Source organism: Homo sapiens, chromosome 11, assembly GCF_000001405.40.
Source record: "Homo sapiens chromosome 11, GRCh38.p14 Primary Assembly".
NCBI lineage: Eukaryota > Metazoa > Chordata > Mammalia > Primates > Hominidae > Homo > Homo sapiens.
Genome location: NC_000011.10, coordinates 74536763 through 74560625, shown reverse-complemented (window position 1 = coordinate 74560625; position 23863 = coordinate 74536763). Strand labels below are relative to the sequence as shown.

General features: G+C 45.6%; 1 annotated feature.

The window, feature by feature from the left end:
* Window positions 21473-22022: an enhancer, noted in NCBI's record as "H3K27ac hESC enhancer chr11:74249649-74250198 (GRCh37/hg19 assembly coordinates)". NCBI's record gives its function as "activates a minimal SCP1, AML or CMV promoter by ChIP-STARR-seq in primed H9 embryonic stem cells {active_cell/tissue: H9 hESC(primed)}" and the evidence as "EXISTENCE:reporter gene assay evidence [ECO:0000049][PMID:30033119]".

The following is a 23863-nucleotide window of genomic DNA, read 5'->3' as shown; positions in this document are numbered from 1 at the left end:
GCTTGCCACCACGCCCGGCTAATTTTTGTATTTTTTGTAGAGACGGGGTTTCACCATGTTGGCCAGGCTGGTCTTGAGCTCCTCAGATGATCCACCCACCTCAGCTCCCAAAGTGCTGGGATTACAGGTGTGAGCCACCGCGCCCGACCACTTCAGTTTTTAAAGTTGAATTTTGAAAATGCATTCCAGCTACTCTGCGGACTGGAGGGAGCAACTCCTTAGGCACAGAACCCAGTGGAAAAGCTGCTGGAAGAGTGGAGGCACCTCCTGCTTTTTCATTTTCTACTTAGCATGCTGTGTGCTTTTTGATGACTGTTTTTTCCAGGCAGGTTAGCTAAGCTGTTGGGAGAAGTGTGATGGATGGAAGGGGCATCATAAGTAAGAGGTCTTAAAAAACTCAAGAAAAAAAAAACGAGACTTGGAAATCTCTTCCACCCCACCTCCTCCCTGAAGTCACTCTGGCCATGGGAGTGGATGGATGAAGGTCAGAGCAGGTGAGTCACTTGCTTCCTTAACCACTGAGAATATTTTTCCCACTCTGTGCATTCAGCCTCCCCCCACTTCCCAGACATGGAGGCTTAGCTTAGGATAAGACATCATGCATCCTTTCCCAGAGACTCAATCTTCATTTCATACCTCTTTTACGTCACCTAAGTCCTTCTGGATCCTCAGGACAGGAACTGAAGCCCTGGGGATCAATGACAAGGAAGGAGCTGCTGAAAGAGGTCCCTGTCCACTGGGCAGAAGGGATCCTCCAGTCCAGAGTGCGGCTGAGCACTTGGAAGCTGGGAAGTCAGCCAGCATTTCATCTTTTGTTTTTTCCTCCTGGGGCTTCCTGTCTCAGAGGTGAATGGAGAGGGGTCATGGGGACTTCCTGGCCTCTGCAAATAAACCTTTCCATTGTCGTTGGCCAGGCAGTACTTCCAGGCCAGACAGCCCAGGTTGATGGGCAGTAACCAAAACAGCAATGCTGCCTTCAAAGGAAGCTTACCCCTAGTCCCATCAAAGGTCCCTGTGGGCTGGGCATGGCGGCTCACACCTATAATCTCAGCACTTTGGGAGGCTGAAGCAGGAGGATCACTTGAGCCCAGGAGGTCCAGGTTGTAGTGAGCCCTGATCGCATTACTGCACCCAACAGAGCAGGACCCTGTCAGAAATAAATAAATAAATAAATAAATATCCCTGCAAGAAGAGGCTATACACTGCTGAGGTGGAAAAGCAGTCATGATCGCAGCCAGAACTTGACCACTCATTGTTGAGGGGTGAGTGGGAACTAGGTGGGGGAGAAGCATCAGAGAATGTGAGGGCTGGTAGGGCCTGAGAAGTCAGCTAGTTTGTTTTCTGATGATTCCTCATACCCAGACAGTTCCTGACACGTAATAGGGACTCTATAAACATTTACTGAATAAATGAGTGGATCTAGTCCTACATTTTCATTTAAGTGAGCTGTCAGGAAAGCAAGGCCCGAAATGGAAAAGGACATTTCCCAAGGACACACAGTGAGTTAGTATCAGAACCCAGACTAGAGCTCAGGGTTCCTGAATCCCTATTCTTTCTGTTAATAACTGGGTGACAATCGGTACACAGGGGAGGGGAGCCATATTCTCCTCCTTCCTTAAGCCAAAGGAAACTGGGGACTTCAAGAAAACCACTCAGAGAGCTTGACATGTTGCACTGAAGTTTGGGAATCATAAGATATGGAGTTTGACATATTCTTGAGGAATTTAAATATTAGAGACTGAATGGAATTTGTAGGACTAGAGAGAGATGGTTGGGCTGAGAGCAAACCCTTCTCCCACTGGCCATGGGGCAAAAGCAGGTTTTTCCTAGGAACTGAGGTAGACCTGGAAGAAGGGATCTGACCTAGGATCTTCCTAAAACAGGTCTGTCCTCAAAAGAATTGCACTGAGGGCACTGGGACCCCAACAGAGAAGATGGACTGCTAAAGTTCAGGAGCCAAGCCAGAGGAGAAGCTTTGCTTCTCAAGGGAAGTATAGTTGGGGGCTCCAAGGGAGGATCCCTTAAAGGTTCCCCTAAAGCCTTTCAAAGAGATAGAATTGGTTTTGGGCATTTGTCCTGCCCAAAACAGCAACATCGTATTGTAGTTGACACTCTTTTTCCTTCATCTTCTCTCCTTCTTGGAGGCAGAGACAGACTTACCTTGAAACTAATGAAGCTTAAATTTCAGGGTTCCTCACTTACAGACCTCTTTAGTCTCACAGATTTTGTATTTGTAATTTTGTATTTTTTCCTTAAAAATATATATTATAAAATTTATATTATTTTTGTATTGATAATAAACAATTTTATACTGATGCATAAACAATTATCACAAACTTAGCCACTTATTACAAATTTATTATTTCTGCTTCTGTATACCAGAAGTCGACGTAGGGCATGACTCAATTCTCTGCTCAGGATCTCAGCAGGCTGGACTGAAAGTGCTGGTCATGTATAGGGCTCAGGGTTCTCCTTCAGGCTCACTGGTTATTGGCAGAATGCAGTTCCTTATGGTTGTAGGACTGAGGTCACCATTGTCCTGCTGGTTATCAGCCGGGGACCACTCTCAGCTCCTATAGGCCACTCAAAATACTTTGTCGCATGGCCCTCTGTTATGGACTGAATGATTGTGTTCCCCTAAAATTCACATGTTGAAGCCCTAACCTCAATCTGACAGTTTGGAGATGGGGCCTTTGGAAGGTAATTAAGGTTAAACGATGTCACAAGGGCGAGATCCTGACCCAATAGGTTTAGTGTTCTTATAAGAAGAGACACCAGAGCTCACTCTCTCTCTCTGCATACACACACTGAGGAAAGACCAAGTGAGGACACAGCAAGAAGGTGACCAACTACAAGCCAAGAAGTGAGCCTTCCCCAGAAACTGACCATGCTGGCACCCTGATCTTGGACTTCCTGCCTCCAGATCTGTGAGAAAATAAATTGCTGTTGTCTTAAGCCACTCAGTCCATGGTATTTAGTTATGGCGCCCTAGCAGACTTACATGCCCCCATATGCAGTTCACAGCACAGATGTTGCTTTCTTCCAGACCAGCCACAGTGCATCTCTCTGGCTTCCTCTTTTGCAGCCAGATGGAGAAAATTATCTTCTTTTTTGTTTGTTTGTTTTGTTTTTTTGAGACAGAGTCTTGCTCTGTTGCCCAGGCTGGAGTGCAGTGGCGCGATCTCGGCTCACTGCAAGCTCCGCCTCCCAGGTTCATGCCATTCTGCTGCCTCAGCCTCCCGAGTAGCTGGGACTACAGGCACCTGCCACCACGCCCGGCTAAATTTTTTTTTTTTTTTTGTATTTTTAGTAGAGACGGGGTTTCACGTGTTTGCCAGGATGGTCTCCATCTCCTGACCTCATGATCTGCCCACCTCAGCCTCCCAAACTGCTGGGATTACAGGCATGAGCCACCGCACCCAGCTGAAAATTATCTTCTTTTAAAGGGCTTCCCTGATTAGGTCAGGCCCACCCAAGATAATCTCTCTTGCCACTTAACAGAATGACAACAGTGATGTCACCAGATTCACAGGTTCCACCTACACTCAAAGGGGAGATTATACAAGTGCAAAGGTCATTGAGGGAGCGGGGAATAATCTTAGAATTCTGCCCAATATAAAGGAGGCTGCCCAAATTGTGGAAGCTTCAGCCCCCACAAAACCTGAATCCACCCTGTCTGGAGGGTGTCAGAAACAGCTGCTATGGAATAGGGAGGAGGTGAAGGAGCAAGAAATAAGCCTTGTACACCTGCTCTACCGCTGCAGGCTTCCTTTCAGTTTCGGGAGGGGACAAATCAACTTCCATGTGCTTGGAGATCTGATATCACACAGGGCTAGATCAGGGCTAGGTGATCACACAGATTATACTCTGCTATTTTTTTTTTAATCTGAGGTGGAGTTTCGCTCCTGTTGCCCAGGCTGGAGTGCAATAGTGCAATCTCAGCTCAATGCAACCTCTGCCTCCCGGGTTCAAGTGATTCTCCTGCCTCAGTCTCCCAAGTAGCTGGGATTACAGGCACCCGCCATCACACCCAACTATTTTTTTTTGTACTATTTTAGTAGAGACAGGGTTTCATAATGTTGGCCAGGCTGGTCTCGAACTCCTGACCTCAGGGGATTCACCTGCCTCAGCCTACCAAAGTGCTGCGATTACAGGCGTGAGCCACCATGGCCAGCCTGCTTTTTTTTTTTTTTTTTTTTTCTTTCTTTCTGGGCTCAAGCAATCCTCCCACTTCAGCTTCCTGAGCAGCTGGAACACAGTCATGAGCCACCACACATGGCTAATTTTTAAAATTTTTTTAGGGACCAGGTCTCCCTGTGTTACCCAGGCTGGTCTTAAATTCTTGGGCTAAAGCAATCTTTCCACCTTGTCCTCCCAAGTGCTAGGATTATAGGCATGAGCCACTTCACCTGGCAAACTAAGTTTCCCTCAGTTGATTACCATTAGATCATACTTTTTAATATAATAACACTTCTCCACAGCTATCCACTTCTTTGTCAAAACCAGCATAAAAAAATACACGGTTTACCAATTTCTTTGGGTCTTCAGTTCCTTATGAAGGCTCCTGTGTCACATAAAATTTATATTCAATAAATGTCTGTATGCCCCCTCCCCTCCCCTCTCCTCTCCTCTCCTTTCCTTTCCTGACAGAGTCTTGCTCTGTCACCCAGGCTGGAGTGCACTGGCGTGTTCTCGGCTCACTACAACCTCTGCCTCTGCCAGGCTCAAGCAATTCTCCTGCCTCAGCCTCCCAAGTAGCTGGGATTACAGGTGCATGCTATCACGCCCAGCTAATTTTTGTATTTTTAGTAGAGACAGGGTTTCACCATGTTGGCCAGGCTGGTCTCGAACTCCTGACCTCAAGAGATCTGCCCACCTCGGCCTCCCAGAGTGTTGGGATTACAGGCATGAACCACTGTGCCCAACCTAAATGTGTTATGCTTTTTTCTTGTTAATCTGTCTTCTGTTTTAGAGGCCTCAATCATAAACCTAAAATGGGAAGGAAACATCTTACAAGAGACTAGAGAACTTTCATTCTCTGAGGACCAAAAGAAAAACACCAACAACAAAAACACCCCTATGAGATCTTCCCAAGATTTCATCAAGTGGCAAGGGAAGACCTATTTGGCAAATTGAATTTTAGAGAAACTGGTGGGAAAAAATTAAGGTTTCCTGCCTGCAACAGTATGACTCTAGCTTGTTCAACAAACTAGTTATATTTACATTATAGCATAGTAGGCATAGATACAATAAAACATATAGCACAACAACAAAAACACATTATAGTTCAGGAAGAGGCCAGAGTAGAGAAATTCCTGGACTGGGAGTTGGAAGACTGAGTTGTAGTTCTCATTCTTTCATCGACCACTTAAGTTGCAATGTGGAATCTACACAACACAAACAACCCACAGAGAAAAAGGTAAATGGTTTGAACGGGCAATGCACAGAAGAGGAAATGCAGATGGACAATGAACATATGAAAAGCAACTCAAATTCACTAGTTATCAGAGAAATGAAAATTTTTAAAAAATAGGATACAGTTTTTCAATAATATGTCTGACACAAATTGAAATATTGAGAACATCCAGCTCTTGTCAATGTAAGGGAAAAGAAGTGTTTTTCCTTCCCATCTTAGGTTCATGGCCGAGGTCTCTAAAACAGTAGACAGATTAATAAGAGAAAAGCATATACATTCATTGAATATAAATTTTATGTGACATAGGAGCATTCAGAAAAATCTGAAGAAATGGGTAAACCCATGTACCCATCAAAGAAGTTAGTAAACCTATGTGTTTTTAATGCTAGTTTTGATGAAGAAGTGGATAGCTGTGGAGAAGTTTGGTTATATAAAAAAGTATGATCTAATGGTAATAAATTGAGGGGAACTTAGCAAGGTCTGCTTGTTCAGATTCTCCTCCATGACCCTTTGTCTTCAGAGATAAGGAGGCTCCTTTCCTCTGGGTGCAGGGAGGGCACTTCTCGAATGAGGGTCTTATGACCTGCTGCAGGGGAAGGTCAGAATAGCCCTCCGAGGTTTCAGGACTTGCTTCAGGAAAATAGGGCAGGAGGAAGGTGTGAGTGATTTTCCTGCTTCTGATGTTTTTGGGTAGCATGTCCTGAGCTCCATCATTACAAAGTAAGGAAATGGACATCATTACACATTGCTGGTGAAGGTATTACACTGCACCATAATCTGTTTGGAAAGTATTCTGGAAGAAAATTTTTAAATGTATATACTTTTTGGCCCATGCATCGCTCTTTTAGACTATTTTGTTGGAACAAAAGTATCATTACCTAAAAATATATGTACAAAAATGTTTATGAGGCCAGGCAAGGTGGCTCATGCCTATAATCCCAGCACTTTGGGAGGCCGAGTCCAGGGGATCACTCTGAGTCCAGGAGTTCGAGACCAGCCTGGGCAGCACAGTGAGATCTCATCTCTACAAAAAATAAAAATTTTAAAAAATTAGCCAAGTGTGGTGGTGTGTACCGGTAGTACCAGCTACACAGGAGGTTGAGGTAGGAGGATCTCTTGAGTCCAGGAGGCGGAGGCTGTAGTGAACCTAGATACCTAGATCGCTCCACTGCACTACAGCTTGGGTGACAGAGACCCTGCCGCAAAAAAAAAAAAAAAAAAAAAAAGAAAGTTTATGTTTATGGGAACACTGCTTACAGTGGCAAAAAAAAAAAAAAGGAAATAACCTGAAGGTCCAAGAGCAGATAAATGATTGAATATATTTGTATATATTTATATTCTATTATGGAATATGATCTAGCTATTTATGAAACCAGTTAAATCTATATGTACTGTAACCAAGGACCTCAGTTTTAAAAATCACACATTTTCTTTTTCTTCCTTCCCTCCCCTCTTACCTAGTCATTCATTTCCTGTGTAGACACTTCTCTCTGGCAATGTATGCTTATCTAATTATGCTGTTGCTTAAGAAATTCCAGAAGCTGGCTGGGCGCGGTGGCTCACGCCTGTAATCCCAGCACTTTGAGAGGCCGAGGCGGGCGGATCACAAGGGCAGGCGTTCAAGACCAGCCTGGCCAACATAGCGAAACCCTGTCTCTACTAAAAATACAAAAATTAGCCGAGTGTGGTGGCGGGCGCCTGTAGGCTTCTGAGGCAGGAGAATTGCTTGAATTCAGGAGGCGGAGGTTGCAGTGAGCAGAGACCATGCCGTTGCACTCCAGCCTGGGTGACACAGTGAGACTCTGTCTCAAAAAAAAAAAATTCCAGAGGCTAATCTGGAAAGAAACCATGCAGGAAGCCCCTGTGGAATCCTCCGTAAGGAATCCTCCCACTTAGGGGGAGTCAGAACAATTAGGTCACCACCATCAGGCCAAAGTCAGGATAATGCCAAGCAGACCTCCAGAGAGACAATGACCCAAGATAGCCATCAGAACAAAGGCCCAGAGCTGCACTCTGCTGCACTCCTCTATGTCTCCCACACCAAACTTCTCTTTAAAAACCCTATGGTAAATTATAAAAATTTATAAACTAGCACTTTCGTATCTCAGTTTGTTGGCTCTCCAGTTAAACCTGCTTTTCCTCCCACCAACCCTCGTCTCTCCTGTTTGGCTTTTGAGCAGCAAGCAGCCGAACGTGGTTCCAGTTACAGTACCAACCAGGAGGAATGACAATGAAATACTCTTTACGTGAAAAAGCAGGTTGCACAGTAATGTATATTGCACGCCCTTGTTTTTGTTTTACGAAAGAGAAAACAGCCAGGTGTGGTGTTGCATGCCTGTAGTTTCTGCTGTTGGGAAGGCTAAGGTAGAAGGATCCCTTGAGCCTGGGAGTTTGAAGCCAGCCTGGGAACATAGCAAGACCTGGTCTCTAAAAGAAATAAAATAAATTAAATTAAATTAAGGAAAAATAAGGCCTTTGTATGCTTATATTTTTGTATTAGTGAAAAAAAGTGTGACAAGTTACACAATATGGTGTTAATACTGGTTAACTGGGGCGTGGGCTGGGGAATGGTGATACGGGAGTGGTGAAGGTATTACAGGGAAGAAGGGAGAAATTAACATGTATTTTATATGTTAACTTTTTATTGTTCAACTTATTATAAAGAATATAAAATACTCTTCTAATAAAAAAAGTGTATTGGTCTGTTCTCATGTTGCTAATAAAGACATACTGGAGACTGGGTAATTTATAAAGAAAAAGAGGTTTAACGGACTCAGTTTCACATGGCTGGGGAGGCCTCATAATCACAGCGGATGGCAAAGGAGGAGCAAAGACCCGTCTAACATGGCGGCAGGCAAGAGGGCTTGTGCAGGGGAACTCCCATTTATGAAACCACCAGATCTTGGGACACTTACTACCACAAGAACAGTATGGGAGAAACCGCCCCCATGATTAAATTATCTCCACCTGGCCCCACCTTTGATATGTGGAGACTATTACAAGTCAAGGTGAGATTTGGAGGGGGACACAGCCAAACCATATCAGAAAGTATATTTAAAAATTAAACTAAAAAATAGCATAGGTTTGGCAGTCAGAAAAATGCAAGTTTGAATTCCCACTCTATCACTAACAAGCTTGGTAACTATAAATAACCTATTTAAACCTCTCTGAGCCTGTTTGTCATCTGTTAAAATAGGTGTAATACACCCCAGAGTTGTTTTGAGGATTAAATGACAGAATTTATTTAAGTGCTGAGCACATAGTAGGTCCTCAAATAAATGATAGCTATTATTATTCCCATTTAGGATTGGATTGACTTGGAGGAACCCTGAGCAAGTTAATGGCACCTTTCAGCAGTTGAGTCCCTTCAGAAACAGAATTCACACCAGACACTTTAACAGAGAGAATGTAATATAGGGAATTAGTTAAATAGGCACTAGAGGACTGAAAAAAGAGAGTAAGGAGATAACAGAGAGAATTACTATAAGCAGCTACCTCCCCCCAGGGGTGGGGGAATAAAGGGAAGAGGATAGGGTTGTCAAAACCTAGAAGCTTTGCATCTGGGCATGTTCTCAGAGAGCCTTCCTAAATCTGGAAACTGGCACCAACTGCTGTTGTCAAGGTGAATGGCCTTTGCTGGGGGTTGCTGACACGACAGGAGGCAAACAGAAGCAACAGATTCCCTCTCCCTCCGCCAGTGTTCCAGCTTTCTCTAGGGCCCTTTACAGCAGAGTCTAACGGGGCAAGGCTGGCAAAGGCAAAGTGTGGTTTACAAGTCCTAGCCCCAGCTTCTCAGAGTTTAGGCTCAGCTATAAAAGGTGTAGCTAAGAGACACTAGCACACTTACATCAAATCAGCTTTCTTTAACTGTTGTTCAACCATGAGTTAGAGGACAGCTGAGTGCCATGAAGGGGAAGGGCTGGAAGGAGCACCAGAGGTAGCAGTACTAACCCTCACCTTTATTTTCCAGGGCAATTCAGCCTGGACTCAAACTTGCATACTCCATTCTGCAAAACAAAAGCCGTTTGTTTGTCCAACCCCATCTCCTTAGGAAACTGCTGAGTGAACATTCATTGTTGTTCATTCTCATCTTTCATTATTCATCACAGTATTCCTTACAACAACTAGAGTACTCTGTCCCAGAAGAGTTCTGATATACACAATTTTGCCCACCTTGTTAAATTTCTAGCAATACTTTGGTACCCAGGGATGTTTTGGCATCTGTTATAAACTGGGGTCTTGGTCAGCTGCTCAGCTGACCTGCCCCTTCCTCCAGCTCAGATCCCCATTGTATGACCCTGGGCACGTCACTTCTTTTTTTTTGAGTCAGAGTCTCCTCTGTCGCCCAGGCTGGAGTGCAGTGGCATGATCGCAGCTCACTGCAGCCTCGATCTACTGATCTCAAGTGATCCCCCTACCTCAGCCTCCCAAGTAGCTGGCACTGCAGTCATGCTACCAGGTCTGGCTAATTAAAATTAAAAAAAAAATTCTTCAAGAGACAGGTTCTCTTGCCTAGGCTGGTCTCGTGGCCTCAAGCCCAGATTATAGATCTGACCCACCACACCCAACTTTTACTTTATGTCTTTGGTCCTCAGTTTCCCGTGGTATAAAATGAGAGCTTTAGGCTAGATTATCCCTAAAATTCCTCACAATTCCAGCATTCTATAATTTTGCCTATATTATAAACAAAATGAGTCATTGTGTTACAGGGAAGGGGTCCCAATCCAGACCCCAAGAGAGGGTTCTTGGATCTCAAGCAAGAAATAATTCAGGGTGAGTTTATAAAGTAAAAGCAAGTTTACTAGGAAAGTAAAGGAATAACGAATGGCTACTTTATAGACAGAGAAGCCCCAAGGGCTGCTGGTTGTCCATTTTTATGGTTATTTTTTGCTTATATGCTAAACAAGGAGTGGATTATTCATACCTTCCCTTTTTAGACCATATAGGGTAACTTCTTGACGTTGCCAATGGCATTTATAAACTGTGACAGCGCTGTTGGGAGTGTAGCAGTGAGGACGACCAGAGGTTACTCTTGTCGCCATCTTGGTTTTCATGGGTTTTGGCTGGCTTCTTTACTGGCAACCCGTTTTATTAGCAAGGTCTTTATGACCTGTATTTTGTGCCGACCTCCTATCTCATTCTGTGACTTAGAATGCCTAACAGTCTGGGAATGCAGCCCAGTAGGCTTCAGCTTTATTTTACCCAGCCCCTATTTAAGATGGAGTTGCTCTGGTTCACACTCCTCTGACAATGGCATTTGTTACAAAAAAAGATAATAAGCTAAAAATGAGTGTTCCAAAAAGTTAGATTTTTAATGACTTTGAGGCTAAAGTTAAGGCTTATTATACTATTATTATTACATTTAGGTTAAAACTGTACCTTGACATAAAGAATTTGATGCTTTGGCCCAACTCAGGTATGAAATATCAATTAACACTTATTAATGGCCTATTATGGGCTGTGTGCTGTACTCCATGTGCTGATCCAGAAGAAAGAGAAAATATCACCAAGCCTCAAGTCTGAGGAACTTGTAACCATAACAATAATTAACTGATAAGATGACAAAGCAAGTGATCAATACTTGAGTAATGTACCAACTTGTTCTGAAATGAAATTGGCTGGGTGCATTATAATGATGTTTATTGGTGCAGGAATAAGATTTTTCAAAGGAAATAAATGAGCTGAGTTCTTTAGAATTCCACATATGCTTCACTTATTTAAAAATGAAAAAAAAAATCTGGCGATTAACAAGGTAATGAAATTTGATAATATTGGACCAAAAAGACAATAACTGTGTTAGAGTCAGTGAAGAAAAACAAAATTCACACTTAGGACTGACCCACCAAGTTGAAATGCTGTGTGAAGTTATTAACTGCTTCCTTAAGTAATGTGTCTAATAGTGCTTGGGGCTAGATTATCAGGCTGAAAGGGTAGATTAATCCACTGCCCCCCACTAGTGCTATGCTCTAGAAATGTCTTTCTCCAAGAGTCCTAGTACCTCTGAGATTCCTTACTTCTTTTTTGAAACGGAGTCTCACTCTGTAGCCCAGGCTGGAGTGCAGTGGTGTGTTCTCAGCTCACTGCAACCTCTGCCTCCAGGGCTCAAGCAATTCCCCTGCCTCAGCCTCCCAAGTAGCTGGGATTACAGGCGCCCCCCCACGGTGCCTGGCTAATTTTTGTATTTTTAGTAAAGACGGTTTTGCCATGTTGGCCAGGCTGGTCTCGAACTCCTGACCTCAGGCCTCCCAAAGTGTTGTGATTACAGGTGTGAGCCACCGCGCCTGGCTGATTTTCCTTACCTCTGCCACTGGCCCTGCCTGAACACTCTTCTCATAACTTGTCTGAATACTTCTCAGCCTACACAGCCTAGCTTAAGCACCAGCATCTAGTGAAGTCTCTGGTGCATGAAATATTAGCATGTGTGAACTATCCTCTCTGCTGAATGGACAGAGCTGATTTTAACAATCTCTGACTATCTGTACCCCACCTCCTATAGCCTGTAATTACAGTCACCCGCAGGAACACCTCTCCATCACCTGGGAAGAATAAACACAATGCCTAGATCAACTGGGAGGGTGTGTGAATGCAGATCAGTCCCAGGAAACATTTGACCAATTGCATTTTCTCTCTCTCTGCCTCTCTTTGGTCTCCCTCCCTCTTCTCCCTAACCATTTTCTTGGTCTCTTTAAACTTCTACCTCCTTGTAGAACTCCCTCATCATGGAAGAGGAAGCACGAGATCTTTGAAAAGCTACACATCATTTGGAGACTCTTGCGTCCTTCAGCTCCTGCAGAATGAAACATCACATGACAAACCAAATCTTCTTTTAAAATATTAACTACTGGTCGGGTGTGGTGGCTCACGCCTGTAATCCCAGCACTTTGGGAGGCTGAGGCGGGCAGATCACCTGAGGTCAGAAGTTCAAGACCAGCCTGGCCAACATAGAGAAACCCCGTCCCTACTAAAAATACAAAAATTAGCCAGGCATGGTGGTGCATACTTGTAATCCCAGCTACTTGGGAGGCTGAGGCATAAGAATCACTTGAACCCAGGAGGCAGAAGTTGCAGTGAGCTGAGATGGCATGACTTCACTCCAGCCTGGGTGAAAGAGTGAAACTCCATTTCGTTTTTTTGTTTTGTTTTGAGACGGAGTCTCGCTCTGTCACCCAGGCTGGAGTGCAGTGGCACCATCTCGGCTCACTGCAAGCGCCGCCTCCCAGGTTCACACCATTCTCCTGCCTCAGCCTTCCGAGTAGCTGGGACTACAGGCACCCGCCACCACACCCGGCTAATTTTTTGCATTTTTAGTAGAGATAGGGTTTCACCGTGTTAACCAGGATGGTCTCAATTTCCTGACCTCCTGATCCACCCACGTTGGCCTCCCAAAGTGCTGGGATTACAGGCGTGAACCACCGCGCCAGGCTGTGAAACTCTATTTCTAAATAAATAAATAAGTAAATACCTACCACCCAAAACACAACTTCTTCATTGTGTCACTGTGCAAACAAAGTCTCTGTCTCCTTACTCCTTTCCAAAGACCACACTTCCTTGTTGAGACAAGAGAGAAAACCCAGATTTGCCCCTGTAGTAGGTTGACTAGTAGCCGCTAAAGATGTTAGATCCCAATCCTTGAAACCTGTAAATGTTATTTTATATGGAAACAGTGTCTTTGCAGGTGTAATTAAGTTAAGGATCTTGCAGTGAGGAGATTATCCTGGGTGGGCCCTAAATGTAATCACACGCATTACATATGACCTTGGCCTGACACCTTAATTTTGGCTGAGTGAAAATGATTTCAGATTTCTGACCAACAGAACCGTGTGAGAATAAATTTCTGGGTTTTTTGTTTGTTTGTTTTTAAAGAGATCAGGTCTTTCTCTGTCACACAGGCTGGAGTGCAGTGGTGCAATAATAGCTCACTGCAGCCTCAAACTCCACGGCTCAAGGGATCCTTCCACCTCAGCCTCTCAAGTAGTTAGGGCTACAGAGGTGCATCACCATGCTCAGGTAATTTTATTTTATTTTATTTATTTATTATTTTTTTTGCAGAGATGAAGGTCTCATTATGTTGTGCAGGCTGGTCTCAAACCCCTGGCCTCAAGCAATTCTCCTGCCTCTGCCTCCCAAAGCTCTGGGATTATGGGCATGAGCCACTGTGGCCCGGCCCATGACTTAACTCTAGTTGTAGTCCTTGTGGTTAGCAACAGAGGTGGGGCAGATCCAGAGGTGTATGGTAAGAACACCTGACAGCAATAACTTAAGCTTACCCTGAGAATGACCCTGTATGGCAAACACACCTGAATGTGTGTTCTGAGCTAGGGAATTGGGAAGTGGCCAAACCACAGACTCGTTTCTTGTCAATGAGGAACATTTGAGCCTCTGGCGCATCCCGTGGAACACGGGCTGTACAGGGGATCAAAGCATTGGGTTTAGGGTTAAATGAAGGTTGTCAGGTGGAGGTTGTTAGGGGGAGGGTACTAAGTGAACATGCTATAGAAACTGCAGGCCTTTTGCAAGCGGCTGCAATTCTCCCGCCCAGCCTACCACCACTGGACCTGTTCACCACCACTGGACCTGTTCTCTTGTCCAGCCCGCCGCTGCTGGACTCTCCCCTGTATGTAAGCCCCCAGTAAAACCCCATGTCTCATTTGCTGGCTCTGGGTCTCTTTTTTGGCCTCTTGAACCTGGTGCCATCCCCACTGGAGTTGATAGGGGTTTGGCACAACATGAGGGAGGCACATTTTATCTTGAGGGTCTGAGTTCTCTGCATTGCCTTCAAACAAGCGAGGGAGGTGGGGGTGCTAGCTCTTAAGAGGAGAAGGGCACAACTTCTGAATGCTCAGAGGATTTAGAGGAGTCTGGGAGTTCAAAATATACCCACATGTCCCCATCCTAAGTGCCAGAGTTCTACTAACCTTAGCGTATTGGACCTATCGTGGTCATTTAATTTTCTCTGGAGCTTGATGGCTGTATTAATTCCCAGCTCAGGTCTTCAGCTTTTTCTGCCTTCTTGCTGTAGGAATTGAAAGCCTCTTTGTAAGCTTTCACATTTGGCTTTCATTGCCTGTTAAATGCCTGCAGCTTTTTATTGTCTTTTTCTAACATATCCATGAATTTAGCAATAGTCACTCAATTCCATTATAGTCACTCGATTTCCATAATAGAAACAGTTAGTTTCTCCTATACCTCCCAAATGCTGAATACATTGAACCAGCTAGTGAATTCCCCTCCATGTCTAAAAAAACCCTAATTCATCACGGGTAAGAGGTTTTTGGTTTTTTTTCTTTTGAGACGGAGCGTCACTCTGCTGCCCAGGCTGGAGTGCAGTCGCGTGATCTCAGCTCACTGCAACTTCTGCCTCCTGGGTTCAAGCGATTCTCCTGCCTCAGCCCCCTGAGTAGCTGGGATTACAGGCATGCACCACCAGCACGCCCAGTTAGTTTTTGTATTTTTAGTAGAGAAAGGATTTCACCATGTTGGCCAGGCTGGTCTCAAACTTGTGACCTCAGGTGAACCACCTGCCTAGGCCTCCCAAAGTGCTGGGATTACAAGTGTGAACCACCGCACCCAGCCACTGGTAAGAGTTTTAACAACCTTGTGCCAGGTGTTGTCTCTGCTCCTTCTATCACCAGTGATGAGTTCCTTATGGCCAACAAGGTGGTGAGTGATCCAGGTTTAAAATCCCATCTTACCACCTGCATTTTTGGGTCATTCCTGGCACCAATTCCTTAGAAGGAAGAAACACTGAACAGAGGGAAAGCCTGAAAGCTATATAGGTCTGACAAAGCTTCAGCCAATCCATGGGGACCTCTGGAACATACATAACCCATCAGTGTTTCCCATGGTGGGCCAAAATGGCCAAACTTTTATACCCATGCCTTGCTCAGTCACCTCACATGAGCTGCTCCAAGAACGGCAAGGCCTTGGGTAAAGCAGCTCGCTAAGCAACTAGGGCAAATCCTAAAGGAGATGACAGCTAGAATTTGTCTGCTGGCAACACCCTCATCAATTAGGGCAACTAGTCCTCCTTGAAGAGGGATATAGTGCAGCATATTCGGGTCTACCGCAGATAACATGCCAGTCATTTTATACACATCATCTCATTTAATCCTTACAACAACTATCAGACATCCATAGTACAGATAAGGAAATTGAAGCTCAAAGAAGCTAAAGAACTTTCCCCAATAATTAGCTTCCAGAACAGGTATTAGAACCTATGTCCATCTTATTTCATACATTAATGTAGATTTCTGAAGAATATCTAATAGAGTGCTTGAAGAAGAAAAGGGTAATGTACCGATCAGGCTCACAACAGAAAATAGCACAATTAGGATAATTCAAGGATGCGTTTTTTCGGGTTTTGCTTTGTTTTTCACAAAGGGATGATTTTTTTTTCTTTGAGATGGAGTCTAGCTCTGTCACTAGGCTGGAGTGCAGTGGCACGATCTCAGCTCACTGCAACCTCTGCCTCCTGGGTTTCAGCGATTTTCCTGCCTCATCCTCCCGAGTAGCTGGGACTACAGGTGTGCGCCACCATGCTCAGCTAATTTTTGTATTTTTAGTAGAGACACGGTTTCACCATGTTGGCCAGGATGGTCTCAATCTCTTGACCTTGTGATCCACCTCTTGACCTCGTGATCTGCCTGCCTCAGCCTCCCAAAGTGTTGGGATCACAGGCGTGAGCCACCACACCTGGCCAGGGATGATTTTAAAGTGTCATGTTCTAACTGAGGTCTGAGGGGAGTTGGTGGACCAGTGGCGGGCAGCTGAAAGAACACTCAAGGAATCATATAGGGATTTTCGACATGGCTTTTTCTCTCTGGGCACAAGTGAGCTTGGGCACAAGCCATGGGTACAAGTGGTGGGCGCAAGCTGTATGTATAGCATCAGCTGGATAGTTACACCTTTTACAGACAATAATGGCTCTGAGCCAAGCAAGAGCACACCTGGTTACCTAATGTGCCTCACATGGCATGGTTACATAACGTGCAGAGTTGTGCACCTGTGCTCCAAACCTGCTGAGTCATGCTGTGCTGGAAGGCCACTTCAGCCTATTCCTGACTAAAGCAGAACCATTACCCTTATACTCCACCCCCAGGCCAAGGCCATCCTCCAGGAAGGGACAAGTGCCCAGAGACTGGACCCTTATACTCCACCCCCTAGGCCAAGGCCATCCTCCAGGCAGGGACACATGCCCAGAGACTGGAGCCCTGAATCCATAACCCACAACAACCACACGGAGAGCAATAGCTCACTACTAGGATCCCAGCTATGCTACTTTTGACTATTAGGGCCCAGCATAGGCTAGAGCCCAGGGATGCCCACCCTGCAGGGGGTTGTCAGTAAGGCTCCTGACTACCTTAATCTCCCGTGAGACTCCTTGCAGGGCTGCTGTTATGTTCTGCCAATTGTCAGGGATAAAGGTACCACACTGTGTTCCTAAAAGAGCACAGGTGCCTCCTTGGACAGCAGTCATTAAGTCTAAGGCCATTCAGTTTTGCAACACCACCTTTCTGATCTGATCAACCTCATCTGTTAACAGGAGGAGAGCCACTTGGGTGTGATTCAGAGCCCAAGCGGTGTGCTCTGCAAGAGCAGTAACTTGTGCTTCTACAGTTATGACACCCGCTCCAAGAACAGTCATTGCCAAGGGGTAGAACCACCAGGGGGCTTGTTGCACTGGCAAAAACTGAGAATGTAGTGCCTCCCCATTATTGGGATGGGCATCTGGGGAGAACAGTGGCAGGTACATAAGGCCACCCCTAGGTACAATATTCAGTCCAGTCCACTGGTAGGTAAGGACACCCTGTGTCACCACAGACCCATAAACTCCCAGGGGGCACAAAATCCATCGGGGCCTGATCTTGTCTACTTGCTACCTGGTTAAGGGCACTCGCTGTATCACTACTTGCTGTGTAACACTGGGTAGCGGTCTCCATTTAGGGTATGCCTGAGCACATGCTGGGCATTTCTGACAAGCCTCCCAAATATCTTGCATGGGCAGGGACAGACCCCAACACTTATTGACCTGTTGCATTAGTTTAACCCCAGTTTCCAGTGTAGCCACAAGGCCACATCTCAAGTAGGTGCTGTCTCTAACCATCAGACCTTGGCCAAAGCATCTGTCTCATCATTGCCAGGGGTGGCCAAAGGCATATGGCCTGACAGATGATAGTTACCTCTTTCTGATGACCCATTTCCCAGAGGTCTTGCCACATTGCTTAGCCCCATATGGTTCACTGGCCAACTAGCCACTTCTGTATTTTCCAGGTAGTTAACCACAAGGTTAAGCCTCGATAGACCTCCCAGCTATTGGTAAAGATTATCACAGGTGTCACCTCCTTGGTGATCACCATCCATACTGCTCTAAGTTCAGCCCATGGACTACTCTGTCCACATCCAGTTTCAAATCACATGGTGTCAGTACTAGGTTGGACCGCAAGAGTGGTCCAGGCAGCAGTATCATACCCCACTGGGTATGGGGGGACCCATCTGTGTATCATACCCATCTGTGTATCATACCCCATTGGGAATAGGGGGACGCCCTTCCTTAAATGGTGAAGGTTCAGGGTCTAAAGGTGCCTCAGGCCCCATGGCCTTGTCTTGCATTAGGACTACAGGTCCCAAGATCTCTTGCAACTCTACTGCTAAGGGACTTGTGCTCAGCGTACGCCACTGCTCCAAGTAGGCACCCCACTTTGCCAAAGTGGATGTCTGCACCGCCCCGTTTGGGAGGCTGTTATCCATGAACTCATCCATCCCGCTCTCGGGTAAGTTGTCCACACAACGACTGTAGCCCGTCCCCATCCTGCCATGCTCTCATGAGCCCGAAGGGCAGCATATGCAGTTACTAACTGCTTTCCCCATCCAGGGGGTTGTTATCCATGAACACACTCATTCCGCTATTGGGTAAGTTGTCTGCACAATGACTGTAGCCTGTCCTACCATGCTCTCATAAACCTGACGGGCAGCATATGCAGTTACTGACTACTTCTCTATCAATGAATACTGGAGCTCAACTCCTTTCCATAGTTGGGATGAAAAGCCTACTGGCGTTCTCAAGCTCTCCATGTGCTGCTATAGGCCCAGACAAAACTATCTGTGGTCACATGCACATCAAGTTTAAATAGGTGCCCCTGGTTAATTACCAGTAGGGCCTGTGCCTGCTGAATAGCCTGCTTGGCTGCCAGAAAGGCTGTCTCAGCCTCATCATCTTAATTCTAGGCAAGGGGAGCATTGCCACTTCTAAATCTGCAAGAGAATCAGAGGTTAGCATAATATCATTAACAAGACCATGACATATGGTGAGGCTCTGCATATAGCCCTCCGGCAGCACTGTGAAAGCCCACAGTCGCCTTCCCGTGAAGGTAAGCTGTTCCTGGCTTTTTGGAAAAGAATGCATTAGCCAAGTCCACCACACAGTGGTACGGTTCCAGTTCTATCATCAAACAGTCCATCAAATCCACGATTGATGGCATAGCTGCCAAGCTGTGTAAAACATCCACCCGCAGAATACATCTGCACTGGTGTCTACCAGCACCAGCACTTGCTGTACGTTGGTGGGGGACCAGTGAATTGCTAATTTCACATGTGGCCTCCTGTCATCCGGTGTTCCCCCAAGCCGGGCACCTCGGCCAGCTCCCTCATCAAACACAAAAGGCTTTACACCCCTGTCTGGCTGCAGCACATAGTCTTTGAGCTGAAGCACCCAGGTGGGACCAGGTCACGCAGCAGTGTCCTTCTTCCCCTTGGACATTTTCTGGAATTGCTGCTCTGGAGACAACTGTCTCCACAAAGTTAATAGTACTTCATTGGGCTGCTTATTAATTTTCTCTCAGTCAACCCCAGCCAAAATCAAATCTACCCACATCTGTAAGCGTGTCACTCAGTGGGACCCCCTTTCCTCCCATGGGGGGGCCCCCTGCGAGTGGGGCATCTTCTCCTTCTTTATGGTGCAAACCCAGACCAAGTGGGAGTCTCTCTGGCCAAGATGACGGACCCAGGATAGCATTCACAGCAGCTTCTAATTCCTTTTCCAAGCTCTGTGGCCAGGCCTCCAGGCACTCCGCCTATGCCTGGAGGTCCCTATTCATGGCAGCTTCTAACACTTCTGAGCTGCGTAACCAGGCCTTCTGGCACCTGGGAGGCCCTTACCTCTGCTGCATCCCTCAGGGACTGGGTGTGTACCTCTCATAGTGCAGTCAAAAACACCCATTCGACTCTGTCGGAAAGGCTCACCCCTTCTCAGTGCTCTGTGCTTCCAGATGCTTCAGCGCCTTCTCCATGCTCGCAGGGGGCCTATCTACCACTGCCCAGGTTTCCACTAGAGCCCATTTGAGCAGCACAGCTGCCACTGGGTACCACCATCCATGTTGCGGTCACATGGCCAACCTGGACTCAGTGGGGACCAAAGACTCACTCACTCTGGGATTGTGTTCGTGATGCCAATTGTCATGTTCTAACTGAGGTCTGAGGGGAGTCAGTGGACAAGTGGTGGCCAGCTGAAAGAACACTCAAGGAATCATAGCAAGTTTTCACATAGCATTTTCTCTGTCTCTCTGGATGCAAGCGAGCTTGGGCACCAACCTCGGTGTGAGCTGTGGGCACAAGCCAGGGGCAAAAGCCATATGTACAGTGTCAGCTGGGTAGTTATACCTTTTACAAACAATAGTGGCTCAGTCAAGCACGAGCACACGTGAGTGGTTACCTAAAGCGCCTCATGTGGTGTGGCTACATAACGTGCAGAGTTGTGTGCCTGCGCTCCAAACCTGTTTGAGTCATGCTGTGCCAAAAGGCTGCCTTGGCCTATTCCTGACTAAAGCGCAGCCATTCCCCTTACATAAAGGTATAAGCAATGTGTAGGGGAGTCGCAAGGGATAGTGAAGTAACTACTTCTAGCCAGAAGAGACAGGGAAGGGAATAGCAACTGGAAATGAGAAGGAGACAGTCATGCAAAGAAGGCTGCACAACTGAAGGGAGCCAAGGGAATAAACACTCTGATCTCATCCTCCTTCCTCCCTCCGGTCTCCTACTGGGGCATTTATTGGCAACTGGAAGCCTGAAGGCATGGAGCCTTATTGATGTAGCCCATACATTTTAGCTTCCTAGGAAAAAGAAGAGAGTAGAAAAGGGTGGAAAGTACATTTTACATGTTAAATGAAAGAGGTCCTGCTTCTGGAATAGTGGAGTAAGGAGCCCCCACAGACCCATTCCCCAATGAAACAACCTTAACTGGTAAAAATTATTAAGCAATCATTTAAAGTCTCCGCAAATTGGCCAGGCATGGTGGCTCATGCCTGTAATCCCAGAACTTTGGGAAGCTGAGGTGGGAGGATCACTTGAGCCCAGGAGTTTGAGACCAGCCTGGGCAACATAGTGAGACTCTGTCTCTATTTTCACTATAATTTTAAATTTAAAACAATGAAAAAGAAAAGGAAAAGAAAATAAAGTCTCTGTGAATTGTCCCAAGACACACAACAAACGAAGAAATGCTTATTCAAGAAAATCTACTAAATCTCAGTAATAATAATAAGAATTTGTGGCACTTGAGCCATGACCCCCTCCATTTCTCATTGCTCCTTGCCCTGCCTTCAACTCAGAGTGACAGAAGCTCCATCCAGAAGGTGTGGCCAGGAAGATGGGGCTTCCACTTCCCTCTGCTCCAAGTAAAGGAATACAGTATATTACCATGAGGAACAGGTCACCAGCATTTTTCATCATTTCCAGCTCTGAGTTGCAGAAGCTAAATTCCTGGCAAGTGCAGCTAAGAGGTCAGGGGCTTTCTTCTTCCACTCAGTTCTCATTCATAAAAAGATGCCCCTCCACAGATGCAGCAGACTGAGAATACTGGGACCCTGATCACTCTCACTCCACCTTGCTGATAGAGAGGAGGTTCCATTCAGGAAGCAGCAAGCCTAGAAGATGAGAGGCTATCACCTCCACCAAGAGTCTGAAGCCATGGCTTAGAGATTTTGCCCAGGAGAAGAGGCAGTCTATAAGAACAGAAATCTCTGAAGCTCTTTCCAAAGGGACTGGCTTTACTTGAAACAAAGTGTGAGAAGTTCAAGTCTAGCGTGCTCTTGACAACAACAAAAATTTGGGGGGGAAGCAATTAAGAGGAGGCTGGTAATTCTTGATAGCAACAAGCTAAGCCATAGGCCTGCTATTTTATTTGAGAGAAACAGGGAAACAGCAAAAAGAGACTTCCTGGGGTTTGAACAAACCTCAAAGACTAGCTTCAAAATCTACTCCTGCAGAGATCTGGATTTCATTAAATCAGACTGTAGCACCATTTATGCTTCAGGGCATAAGTGAGCAATCAGCCAGCAACTGGTAGAGCCTAAAAGCTGGGTGTGATACCAAATGAGGCAGACAGTTTAACAGGTCAGGGAAAGAGACAGAGTCTTGCTAAAACCCCTGTTATTCAAGGGTAACTGGGCACAGACCTAAGTCTGTATTCTTTGAGGAGTGGCACTAGAGGCTTCACACTGTGGGGGAATTAGACTTCACTAAAATATTCCAGCCAAATCACTAAGCAAACAACAAAAACAAGCCCCACAGAGGGAGAAGGGTATCAGTGCCTACAGCAGTATGTAACTGAAAGCATCTAGTTTTCACCAAAAAATTATGAGACATGCAGAGAAACAGAAAAGTGTGATCAGCCCACAGGGAAAATTTAGGCAACAGGAGCTGCCTGTGAGAGGGCTCTGATGTCAGATTTAATAAAGACTTCAAAGCAACCATTATGTTCATGCATTCAGTGTTCAAAGATCTCAAAGAAAAATAAACATGCTTAAAGTAGTAAAGAAAGATATGATGATTGTCAGGCCTCTGAGCCCAAGCTAAGCCATCATATCCCCTGTGACCTGCATGTATACATCCAGATGGCCTGAAGCAAGTGAAGAATCACAAAAGAAGTGAAAATGGCTAGTTCCTGCCTAAACTGATGACATTCCACCATTGTGATTTGTTTCTGCCCCACCTTAACTGAGCGATTAACCTTGTGAAATTCCTTCTCCTGGCTCAGAAGCTCCCCCACTGAGCACCTTGTGACCCCCACCCTTGCCCACAAGAGAGCAACCCCCTTTGACTGTAATTTTCCACTACCCACCCAAATCCTATAAAACGGCCCCACCCCTATCTCCCTTCGCTGACTGTTTTTGGACTCAAGCCACCTGCACCCAGGTGAAATAAACAGCCCTGTTACTCACACAAATCCTGTTTGGTGGTCTCTTCACACGGATGCGCGTGACAATGATAATGTTGCATCCAATGAAAAATGTCAATAAGGAGATAGAAAAAAATAACAAAATGGAAGTTCTGGAAGTGAAAAATATAATAACTAAAATGAAAAATTCACTAGAGTAGCTCAACAGTAGGTCTAAACTGGCAGAAGAGAGAATCAGCAAACTTGAAGATAGATCAATAGAGATTATGCAATCTGAAGAACAGAGAGAAAGAAGAATTAAAAAAAATGAACAGCCTCAGAGAATGTGGGTTGTCATTAAGTGCATTAAGTGATGGTAGTTTCAAAAGCAGAAGATGGCCAGGTGCGGTGGCTCACACCTGTAATCCCAGCACTTTGGGAGGCTGAGGTGGGCGGATCACTTGAGATCAGGAGTTCAAGGCCAGCCTGGCCAACATGGTGAAACCCTGTCTCTACTAAAAATGCAAAAATTAGCCAGGCATGGTGGCGCATGCCTGTAGTCCCAGCTACTCAGGAGGCTGAGGCAGGAGAATTGCTTGAACCCAGGAGGCAGAGGTTGCAGTGAGCTGAGATCGTGCCACTGCACTCCTGCCTGGGTAACAGAGCAAGACTCCAACTCAAAACAAACAAACAAACAAACAAGCAACAACAACAAAAAAAAACAAAAACAGAGAAGAGAGGAACAGAAAAAAGGTTTGAAGAAATAATAGCTGAAAACTTCCCAAATTAAATGAAAAATATTGATTTTCATATTCACATAGCTCAGTGAATTCCAGGTAGGATAAAAACAAAGAGGTGCACACTTATATATCATAGCAAAAATGCTGAAAGACACAGATTAATTTTGAGAGCAGCAAGAACAAATGACTTATCACATATAAGAGAACCTCAGTAAGATGAGCAGATGACTCCTTACAAGAAATAACAGGCCAGGCATGGTGGCTCACACCTGTAATCCCAGCATTTTGGGAGGCTTTGGCAGGAGGGTCACTTGAGCCCAGGAGTTCAAGATCACCCTGGGAAACGTAGTGAGACCTTGTCTTTATGAAAATTTTAAAAAATTAGCCAGGTGTGATGGTGCAACCTGTGGTCCCAGCTATTCCAGAGCCTGAGGTGAGAGGATTGCTTGAGCTTGGGATGTTGAGGCTGCAGTGAGCTGTGATCATACCACTGCACTCCAGTCTGGGTCACAGAGTGAGACCCTGTCTCAAAAAAAAAAAAAAAAAAAAAAAAAGTTAGAA